Source organism: Homo sapiens, chromosome 20, assembly GCF_000001405.40.
Source record: "Homo sapiens chromosome 20, GRCh38.p14 Primary Assembly".
NCBI classification, from domain to species: Eukaryota; Metazoa; Chordata; class Mammalia; order Primates; family Hominidae; genus Homo; species Homo sapiens.
Window position 1 is genome coordinate 50430801 of NC_000020.11, and position 11650 is coordinate 50442450.

The window sequence follows — 11650 nt, forward strand, 5'->3', positions numbered from 1 at the left end:
TCCCGAGGCCGGGAACAAGCCCCAACAGTTCAGCCTTCCTCCCCACCCACCCGTTGCCAGCAAGGCCAGTTTCCGGGTGGTGGGTGGAGGGCATGGTGCCATCTGAATACGGTCCAGTTCTCCCCGGTGGGGGAGGGAGAGAAGGGTTTTGCTCCTGGAATGCAGGGCCCACACCATCAGAGCTGCCCATCTGTCTGTCTATCCGTCCATGTGAGACAAGAGCGGGGACTGTTGAGGGAACTACTTCCAAATTTCTCCTCCCTCAATTCCCAGGAGGTGGTGAGCCCCAGCCTTCTAGGATGGCAGGCCAGGCTTCCAGAACCTTCCATCTCAGCCACACAAAACCAAGAGACTGAAGCGAAAGGTAACCCCCTGAGGAACTCCCGGGATTTGTGAAAAATTCAAGAGGGAGTGGCGCCTGGGCCTGATCCGCATCCAGAGGCTGTTCTGTTGGTGAGCAGTGGCTCATTTACTGAAGTACAGACTGCACCCTGTGGCCGCGGCAGCCACGCCCCTCTGCACCCACCAGTCCTGTTCACTGGCCTAGGCTTCAGGCCGCCAGCACCTCCATCTTTTTGCCAAGGGCTTTCTCTGGCCACCACACCCCACTGAGCCCATGCAGGACAAGCGGAGTACCTGAGAGATCATGCCCCTGGCAGCTGCCCTTAACCAACCACTGACAGGAGGTGATGGAGGAAGACGCCGGTTTCCTTGCCCCTTGGTGGAAATAGCCTGGAGGCATGTTTACACTGGCTCCCAGAGTTCCCCAGTGGAATCGAGCCCCAGTTGCCCAGACCAGTAACTTGCTCAAAAATGTCCCCTGTGTGTGTCTTCTCATCTGTGTCTCATGTCCCCACTCCCTTACTCCCTTACTTCCTAAGACTACCACCCAAACAAATCACTTGAATCCTTGCCTCGGTGTCTGCTTCTGGGGGCACCCAGCCTAAGACCAACACAGTCTAAGAGGCAGACACAGATATTTGCAGATCAGGATGAATGTGGCTGCCCCCTCTAGCAACTCACAATCAGATGGAAAGCCCAACACCACTCAGTCACACAGACGCAGAATTGCAAATGGGGAGAAGGCTGAGACTGTGAAGCAACAGAGAACCTTGTTGTTAAAACCCTCCAATGGGCTGAGCATGACGGCTCACGCCTGTAATCCCAGCACTTTGGGAGGCCAGGGTGGGCGGATCACCTGAGGTCAGGAGTTTGAGACCAGCCTGGCCAACATGGTGAAACCCCATCTCTACTTAAAATACAAAAATTAGCCGGGTGTGGTGGTGCACACCTGTAGTCCCAGCTACTCAGGAGGCTGAGGTAGGAGAATCGCTTGAACCTGGGAGGCAGAGGTTGCAGTGAGCTGAGATCGTGCCACTATACTCCAGCCTGGGTGACAGAGCAAGACTCCATCTCAAACAAACAAACAAATAAATAAAACCCTTCAGGCAGGGCATGGTGACTTATGCCTGTAATCCCAGCACTTTGGGAGACCTGAGGTCAGGAGTTCGGGACCTGCCTGGCCAACATGGTGAAACCCTGTCTCTACTAAAAATACAAAAATTAGCCAGGCGTGGTGACATGTGCCTGTAATCCCAGCTACTCAGGAGGCTGAGGCAGGAGAATCACTTGAACCTGGGAGGCAGAGGTTTCAGTGAGTCGAGATCGTGCCACTGCACTCCAGCCTGGGCAACAGAGTGAGACTCTGTCTCAAAAAATAAATAAATAAATAAATAAATAAATAAATAAAAATAAATTTTTAAAAACTCTCCATAGGCCACCCTCCCCTCCCAGGCCAAAATTCAGGTCCTCTAGGTCCTGAACCATCTGCCACCCCTTCCCTTTCCTGTGCTCACCTCTCCCCATCCTGCTCCAGCCATAATGGGCTGCTGGCTGTTTCTCAGTTGTGCTGTACGTGTTCCTGCTTCAGGACCTTTGCACTTGCTATTCCCTCTCCTCAGATGCTTTTCCCTAGATCTCCCCATGGCCGGCTCCTCCTTCTAGTTCAAATCTTGGTTCACATGTCACCTCCTCATGGGGTCACCTCAGCACCCATCCCCCACCACCTCCCACCAGTCACTTTCTAACCATGTCACCCTGGTATATTGACTTCATAGCCCATATCACAGCCGGAAGTTATATTGCTTACTTATGTGTTGAATGATCCCCAAAGATGGGCTCTGTGAATATGAGCAGAGGCTGTGTCCCCGGTGCCTGGAACAAAACCTGGAACAGAGTAGGAGCCCTATGGCTGTTTGCTGGAGAAGTCATTCAATGTTTAAGTGATGAGAGGGAAAATGAATGAATGAATCATAGAAAGACATTTAACAGGGGGACCCAACCTTGTCTGGAAAATCAGGGAAGGCTTCCCTGAGGAGGTGACATGGAGCTGAGATATGAATGGAGATGGGGTATTAACTGAGCCAAAGGGACAGGAAGAGCTACTCAGGCAGAGGGAAGAGCACATGGAAATGTCCAGAGGATCCCAGAGGACACACCAGGACTGTGCAGGGGACAAGCCAGCTGTAGCCGAAGGTTTTCCTTAATATTTTTGAACCTATTATGTGTCCAGCTCACGGATACATGGAGAACAAAGCAGGCAAGTTGCTGTGCCCCTGGAGCTCCCAATCTGGTGGGGAGGACAGACACTCACCAAAGAGTGGGCCAACATTTAGTCCCAAAGTTTCAGTTGCCCTTGCACAGCCTCCTCTTACAGTACACTGTTGATGCTTGCTTTCCAGAATACGCCACTGAGATGCTGTGTAGAAACACACTTGGCATGAACACACACACACATACACATACACAATAAGTGAAGAATTCCCTGGATTTCCCACCAAAAGAGATCAGAAAAGACATTCAGAGTAGCTCCTTTTTGTTGTTAATAATTTAATTAATCACCCTCTACCAATGTGATCACCATTAGCACAGAGCTATAATTTCCTGAGTTCAAGAAAGAAGGGAGCAGCTATGCCAATTGTATGACAATGTGTCCTCCCATAGAAAATTTAACCGCCACCACCCCGCCGCCACCACTAGTCTGACAACAGCCAAAGCCAGGCCCAGTCACCTAGTGGGTTCTATATGAAGTGCTGGGATGGAGCCAGGTTTTATCTCTCGGCCTCCCAGTTCCGGGCTCGTGTTTTGTCCCTCCCAGCAGTCAGAAAAAGGCTCCAGCTGGACGCTCAAGCCTCCCCTCCCCTCCCCTGCAGGGCCACAGTAGAATTGGTCCCACTCCATTTGCATTTCCTACCGGGCTCCTAAAGCCTTTTGAGTTTTTGACCCCAGGATGTCATGGCAGGAGGGTCACAGTTAGATACCTGTCAGGGAATTCTTCATTTGTGTGTGTGTGTGTGTGTGTGTGTGTGTGTGTGTGTGCTGAGACAGCGTTTCTCCATGTTGGCCAGGCTGGTCTCGAACTCCTGACCTCAGGTGATCCACCCGCCTCGGCCTCCCAAAGTGCTGGGGTTACTAGATGTGAGCCACCACACCCCACCAAAAGTTATAAATTTATGCAAATAAATATATACAATTTTTATTTGTCCAGTTAAAAAATATATGCAAGTTTTTGTCAATTAAAAAAATTTCATGAGGGGAGGGGGTTGGGCGATCAGGGAAAGATGTCTAGACAGGCTCCTAGAGGTGAGAGAAACTCCATGTTAGAGGGAAACATAGGGCTATGGGAACTCCTAACAAGACCCCTTAACCCAGCCTGGGAAATCACAGAATCCTTCCTGGAGGAGGAGGCCTTTTCACTCATTCTTAAAGGGTAAAGTCAGCTAGAGCAGGGTCAAAAACCTTTTCTGTAAAGGGCTAGATAGTAAATATTTATGCTTCATGAGTTCCTGTCACAACTATGATTACAGATCTAAAGCAGCCATAGATAAAACTGAAATAGATGTGGCTGTGTTCCAATAAAACTTTATTGACAAAAACCACACGCTGAGCCAGATTTGGCCCCCAGGCCATAGTTTACTGACCTCTGAGCTAAACAATGGAAAAGGAGAAAGCAAGCAAAGGAAGTCACTTGAGCAAAAGCTGGAGGTGTAAAAGAGCAGAGAATTAGGAAAGAGCCACGTTGTGGTTTTCCTTCTCCCTGAGGCACAGAAGGAGTTGTCTATGTTTACACAAAGACTTGGGCTCTGACGCAAGCTGAGTGCAGGATTCCAAATTCACCCCATCGACAAGTATTTATTGAGTGCCTACTAGGTGCCAGGCACTGTTCTAGGCACTGCAATGACACAGCAATGAACAAGAGACTTTCTCCTGTGGAAGACAAACACTAAGCACACACAAGTGAACAAGCGAGCCAAAAAAAATACAGCTTCCTCACCTGCTGTGTGACCTTGAAGATGTTCCTTAACCTCTCTGTGCCCCAGGAGGATAATATGATCAGAGTGCAGGCCCAGCACACAGTGGCTGTTCTATAAATATAGCTGCTGTTATTATTGTAAGTCAATATGCAAATAAATACACATTAAAAAAAAAAAAAAAAGGCCAGGCATGGTGGCTCATGCCTGTAATCCCAGCTACTCAGGAGGCTGAGATGGGAGGCCGAGGCCAGAGGACCACTTGAGCCTGGGAGGCAGAGGTTGCAGTGAGCAAGACTGCACCACTGCAACAGAGAAAGACCCTGTCTCAAAAAACAAAAACAAAACCGTGACACAGGTAGTACCCAGGAACCGGGCAGGTGCATGAGATGAGGGTGGGGGGTCGACTTTGGATCAGGTAGTCCGGGAGGGCCTCTGAGGAAGTGGCAGTCAAAGACGCCCTGGATCGCATTCTGTGAGCCAATATCCTAGAATTAGAGTTTGCAGCCCCATGCCCTGCAGACTCGCAAGAGCAGTTAATTAAAAATACCTGCCTCTCTGGAGCACAGGAAGGTGTCTTCTCTAATTAGTGTGTGAGTGTAAAGTGCTTTGAAATCCAAGGATAAAAGGGGAGTGAGGGGTGAGGCTCTGGTCACAGGGCCAGGGTGTCCCACTGGGAAGCGATCCATGAACCCGAAGAGCTAGACTCAGAGAGCCATGCTCGTGCTCACGGGCCTGCCGGAGCCGACCCTCTCTCAGGTTCCAAGTGGAGTTTAGGGCAGCGGGAGATGCGCCCACCTAGGGCAGGCTGAGAGGAGCAGAGCACGGATGTTGGAGCCAGACTCCGAGGTCATGTGCTTAAAGCCGTGGACCCAGCACGTGGCAGCTAGCGGTGCCAAGTTGGTATTAGCTGTTTCCCGTCTTGTTACATGATCGCTTTTGTGTTCTTGTTTTTGCTGTTGTTGTTACCTGCCATTTACTAGCCGGGTGACCCTGGGTAAGTTACTGACCCTCTCTGAACCATGATTTTCTTCTCTGAGCCTCAGTGTTCTCTTCTTTAAAGTGGGACACTTGCAGCCCAGCAGTGCCGGGTGCAGGCAACACGTGTGGCACAGAGCAGAACAAACACCACTCTGCCCAGTCAGCCATTGCCTTGTGCCAAGCACTGCCTCAAGCATATTGTATGCGTTCACTCATTTAATCCTCACAGACATTATTCCCACTTCCTGGACAAGGACCTCAGAGCCACCAGGAATAGCCATGCACTGCCCAGCTCCAGGGGGCCCCAATCACACAGACCATGACATGAACAGCAGCCCTGAGGCTGTAAAACACAGACAGGTTAAGTTTTTCACCCAAGGCCACACAGCTAGTACTTGGCAGAACTGGGATTAGATCCCAGACTGCCTGGCTCCGGAGCTGGGCTCCTGACCCTGGGTCAGCGCTGGTCCTTGTCAAGGAGACTAAAGTAACAGAGGGTTTCTGAGATGTAGAGAAATTGGTTCTCCCTTTGCCCAGGCAAGCAGGCAGCAAGTCTCAATCTGCCGATCTCTCGTTTCTCTCTAGCCTAAGAACCTGTATGTTTCTGGGGATTTTTTGATGTTTTGTTGTTGTTGCCTCCTAATTTTATAAGAGCAAGTCTTGTATGTTTTGGTTTGTAGGGCATACTGCCATCCTGGGAGGCTTCTGAATATGCCACGACATCAGGCCTCAGATTGGCGCTGAGGAAGCGCTAATAATCACGTCCCCGTAATCCCATGCTCAAGGCCTTCACTTGACAGGCTCAGAGAGGCAAAGTGACCCGCCCAAGGTCACACAGCTAGGAAGTGGCAGAGCTGAAATAGGACTTCTAGACTCCAGCTTCTTTCTTAATTCCCACATCTGATGTCTCAAACTGGTGGCCCATGGGCCAAATGCAGCCTGTAGAATGTTTGATTTGGCCTGCGTGACGTTTTTGTAAAATTAGAATTTATCATCAGTATGTAAAGAAACGGATATTTCCAGGAATAGTATTCAAAATATTTAACCAGACTGGCCTGGGCATCGACCATTCAGAGTGGCTGCTGGTGGGATAGCAGAAGCCAATGGCTACTGCAAAAAGACGCCATAAAAAATATCAGATCTGGAAAATGCAAAACCATGGAGACAATAAAAAGATAGGTGGCTTCCGGGAGTGAGAGGGAGGAAGAGATGTCTAGGTAGGGCATAGAGGACTTTCTAGGGCAGTGATATGATGACAATGGTGGATTCCTGTCATTACACATTTGTCCAAACCCATAGGATGTACAACACCAAGAGTGAGCCCTAAAGCAAATTATGGACCTTGAGTGACAATGATGCATCCATGTAGTTCATCAATTGTATCAAATGTACCACCCTGGTGGGCAATGTTGATAATAGTGGAGGCTGTGCCTGTGTCGGGGGAGGGGGTAGGTAAAACATCTCTGTACCTTTCTCTCCATTTTGCTGTGAGCCTAAAGTTTCTTTTAAAAATAAAGGCATTTGGCCGGGCGCAGTGGCTCACGCCTGTAATCCCAGCACTTTGGGAGGCCGAGGCGGGCGGATCACGAGGTCAGGAGATTGAGATCATCCTGGCTAACACAGTGAAACCCCATCTCCACTAAAAATACAAAAAATTAGCCGGGCGTGGTGGCAGCCAGCTGTAGTCCCAGCTACTCGGGAGGCTGAGGCAGGAGAATGGTGTGAACCCAGGAGGCGGAGCTTGCAGTGAGCTGAGATTGCACCACTGCACTCCAGCCTGGGCTACAGAGCGAGAGACTCTGTCTCAAAAAAATAAATAAATAAATAAATAATAAAGGCATCCTAAGTCACAGGATGAGATAAGAGGTCAGCACAAAGTACAGGTCATAAAGACCTTGCTGATAAAACAGACTGCAGTAAAGGAGCTGGCCAAACCCACCAAAACCAAAATGGCCACGAGAGTGACCTCTGGTCATCTTCACTGCTACACTCCCATTAGCACCATGACAGTTTACTAATGCCATGGCAATGTCAGGAAGTTACCCTATATGGTCTAAAATGGGAAGGCATGAATAATCTACCCCTTGTTTAGCATATGATCAAGAAATAACCATAAAAATGAGCAACCAGGCCGGGCGCAGTGGCTCATGCCTGTAATCCCAGCACTTTGGGAGGCCAAGGCAGGCAGATCACCTGAGGTCGGGTGTTCAAGACCAGCCTGACCAACATGAAGAAACCCTGTCTCTACTATAAATACAAAATTAGCTGGGCGTGGTGGCATATGCCTGTAATCCCAGTTACTGGGGAGGCTGAGGCAGAAGAATCGCTTGAACCCGGGAGGTGGAGGTTGTGGTGAGCCAAGATCTCGCCACTGTACTCCAGCCTTGGGCAATAAGAGCAAAACTCTATCACCAAAAAAAAAAAAAAGGCAATCAGCAGCCCTCGGGGCTGCTCTGTCTATGGAGTAGCCATTCTTTTATTCCTTTATTTTCTTAATAAACTTGCTCTTACTTCACACACAAAAAAATAATAAATAAAACTTACTTTTGGCCGGGTGTAGTGCTCACACCTGTAACCCCGGCACTTTGGGAGGCCACGACAGGTGGATCACTTGAGGTCGGGAGTTCAAAACCAGCCTGGCCAACATGGTCTCTACTAAAAATACAAAAATTAGCCGTGCTTGGTGGTGCGCACCTGTAATGACAGCTACTAGCAGGGGCTGAGGCAAGAGAATTGCTTGAACCTGGGAGGTGGAGGTTGCAGTGAGCTGAGATGGCGCCACTGCACTCCATCCTGGGCAACAGAGCGAGACTCCATCTAAAAAAAAATAAAATAAAGTATATGTTTTAAAAATTCAGAAGGTTTGGCTACATGGCTCCCACATTTTTACAGGACCATGATGGCTGCAGTGAGTTCCAGGTGCCTCCATAGATAAAGCGTGTGTGCCCGAGCCTGTCGGTCCCCTGAGACTGCCTCCCTCTGTAGCATCAGCCAGCCAGTCCCCGCAGGCACCTGAGCAATGACTCAGGCATGAAGGGGATTCTTTGGAAGTTCCTGGTGAGAAAGAGAACCGGGTGAAAGTGTGGCCTGCAGGAGTGGCCAATGAGGAGCAAAGAGGAGGGTGACACCCGCCTGTGTCAGCTCCTGCTCATCATCTCCCCAGTGGGAGCCTCCTGTGCACTTTCCACAGGACCGAGTGAGCCACTCTTGATTCACCCTTCCTCTGCCCAGGCCTGCAGTGGGCGGGTGCCCACCGTGGTACACAGCCCATGAAGCAGCCACCCTCTGCCACTGAGGCTTGGCAGTCTGAATGGATGCCAGCCTATGAGATTAGAAGGAAAATGGGCAGGATGTGAAAAATCAGAAGCTGCCTGACTACTCCTGGGAAATTGTTCCTGAGACCATGCCCTTCCTGCGTCTACTTGTAGCATCGCTCTTTCACTGACAAGCATGTATCGAGTACTAGGCAAGTCCAAAGGAGGTCTTGAAGTAGATACAGCAGGACAGGCAAGAGGCTGGTTCCATGGCCAGCTGCTGTTTGTACCTGACCAATGTTCCTCCCCCATGTTCCGGTAACAGCACCCTTCCACCACTATCACTCCATGTGCCTCCCCAACCAGAGGAGGTGGATGAATGAGGCCTGGGAAGTCAGCATATTCCATCCCCCCGGCCCCAGGGATTGGTCTGAGATGGGTATGTGACCCAAGTCTGGCCAATCACAGTCAACCCCTAGACATGTGCTGAGGCTACACAGAAAGTCAGCTTCTGCTCACTTGGCTTGTCGATCTGGCAGAATGGAAGCTGGGGGATACTGGGGACTATTTTTGCCACCACATAAGGTGACCCTAACTGACACGGAGGAAAACAGAACCAAGAAGTGGAAACAGCATGATTCCTAAACAACAGATGCACACCTGGATCCAGCCATTCCTGAAGCTGAAGGTCTTTTCATTTAAATGAACCAAAACATTCACAGAAACACACACTATTTTTTTTCTTAAGTCACTTTGAGTTGGGTTTGTTTCTGTCACTTTCAACCAAAAGACCCTGACTATACAAGTGGATGTATAGCTGTTTCCAGGCTGGAAAACAAACAGCTATGGCAAAAGCAGACCATGAGACATCCATGTAAAATCTGGGAGTTGAGGGCTGGGTGCAGTGGCTCACACCTGTAATCCCAGCACTTTGGGAGTCTGAGGCAGGTGGATCGGTTGAGGTCAGGAGTTCAAGGCCAGCCTGGGCAACATGGCAAAACCCTGTCTCTACTAAAAACACAGAAATTTGCTGGGCGTGGTGGCATGCACCTGTAATCCCAGCTACTGGGGAGGCTGAGGCACAAGAATGGAGAATTGCCTCCCTCTGAACTTTTTATTTGGTGCTATAAATAAACCCTTTCAGGTCTGAGCGGCAGTCAGGTGGATTTCCAGTTACTTGCAGCTGAATGCATTTCTACCTGTCACTCCTCCTCAGGACCATAGGTTGCTCTGGATTCCCACCACACACGTGGAGATACTGAGGTCTGGAATGCAGAGAAAACTTCCCCAGTGTCACGTGGTGGAGTCATGAGTTTACTGACTCACTACCCAGTGCTCTTTCCGCTCAAGACAACCTCGTGGTCCGTTCCTTTCATTCGGGCTGCTGTATGCATGGCCAACAGCTGCTTTGTAAATTAAACACTTCCCATGGAGGCAGTGATGATGATGACCTTGCCCCTGAATCTTTCCAGCCTCTTACGTAAATCGCCCCTGGGTCACTGTCTCCATGCCTTTGGACCCAGGACAGCTTCCCCACATCCTTTAAAACGATGAGATAACCACATGTAAACCCAGTGCTCCTGGAAAGGTGTGAGTCATGCATCACGGAACAGAAGGTTCACAGCCAGGAGTCCGCCTATCATGCTTGTCATCCAGCCTTCCAGGCTTGCGTGGAGCTTGTTCACTGCAAAGCTGATTCATCTGCAGCTTGTGGTCAGCTCTGACACTCAGATCATTTTCTGCTCATCTTGTGCCTGGCTAGTGACCTTTAATTAGGTGCTGTCAACTTCCTGTCTTCCTGTCTCTGTCCATGTTGTCTTTCCCCCTATTTTAAAAGGACTGTATGAATACTAAAGACATGATGATGATGATAGCAGTTAGCACTTACTATATTCTAAATGCTCTATATAAATTTAAAAGTTGTTTCTCAAAAGCCATTGTCTGAGATAACTAGTATTACTATTGCAGTTTTATGGATTGGAAAACAAGGGCTTAGAAAAGTGAAGTCACTTTCCTTGGGTAACAGAGCCAGGAGTATTTGGTGGAGCTGGAATATGAACATGAGTGTGTTGGACCCTGGAGTGCAGCTCGAAAACACAAAGCCAGTTGAGTCTGTTAAGCTAGCTTCAGAGGCTCCACTACAGCAGTTTAGACTCTAATTACATTTACTGTTTGTTTAAAAGACTTCTGGACAGACTGGAGACCTCATGGTGTATTTGTCATCTTAAGGTTGTCATAAAGGACCCACAGTCTTTGCACTTTCCCTCTCCTCCGTCAACAGCAAGTCAGCAACTTGTCCTCAGTCTGGTCTTCACATCACAGATGGCTGCCACAGCTCACGCATCACCTCTTCACACAACAATGTCCAAAGCAGGCAGAGAAGGAAAGGGGCAAATAGGTTTCTCTTTATGTGCCTCTTTCTTGTCATAGAGTAAACTCTTTCCCAGAAGCCCCCAGATTAGTTTCCCTTTGGACAAAACTGGGTCACGTGACCACCTCTGAGCCAATCGCAGGTCCAGGAGAACAGGGTGGCTATGACTGGGTAAAGCAAATGCAGTTTTTCCCCTAGGACTAGGCACATGGCCAGCTGCAGAAAGTCAGGGTTTTCTCAGCAGGAAAGGAGAGGGGAATGGCAGTTGACAAGGCAACCCGCAGTGTCTGATACCCCAGCATTTAAAAATGTTTAGCACAGACACCCACGTTGATTTGCAATATGATTGTAGGTGGTACATGAAGTTGTGGTTGCGTGTTTTTAAATAATTTTAGTATTTATTAAGTATTTAAATGCATTTGAAAAAAACATATAGGCCAGGTGTGGTGGCTCACACCTGTAATTCTAGCACTTTGGGAGACCAAGACTGGCGGATCACTTGAGGTCAGGAGTTCGAGACCAGCCCGGCCAACATGATGAAAACCCATCTCTACTAAAAATACAAAAATTAGCCAGGCGTGGTGGTGGTGTCTGTAGTTCCAGCTACTCAGGAGGTTGAGGCAGGAGAATCACTTGAACCTGTGAGGTGGGGGTGGAATGAGTCCAGATCGTGCTACTGCACTCCAGCCTGGGTGACAAAGCGAGACTCTGTCTCAGGAAAAAAAAAGAACCAA

General features: G+C 49.1%; 2 annotated features.

Annotated features, from left to right (window-relative positions):
* Nucleotides 4832-5126: a silencer, noted in NCBI's record as "tiled region #10608; K562 Repressive non-DNase unmatched - State 7:EnhWF". NCBI's record gives its function as "represses a minimal TATA promoter and a strong SV40 promoter by Sharpr-MPRA in K562 cells {active_cell/tissue: K562}" and the evidence as "EXISTENCE:reporter gene assay evidence [ECO:0000049][PMID:27701403]".
* Nucleotides 9030-10229: an enhancer, noted in NCBI's record as "P300/CBP strongly-dependent group 1 enhancer chr20:49056367-49057566 (GRCh37/hg19 assembly coordinates)". NCBI's record gives its function as "activates an origin of replication core promoter dependent on BRD2, BRD4, P300/CBP, MED14 and CDK7 cofactors, with strong dependence on P300/CBP, by STARR-seq in HCT116 cells {active_cell/tissue: HCT116}" and the evidence as "EXISTENCE:reporter gene assay evidence [ECO:0000049][PMID:35650434]".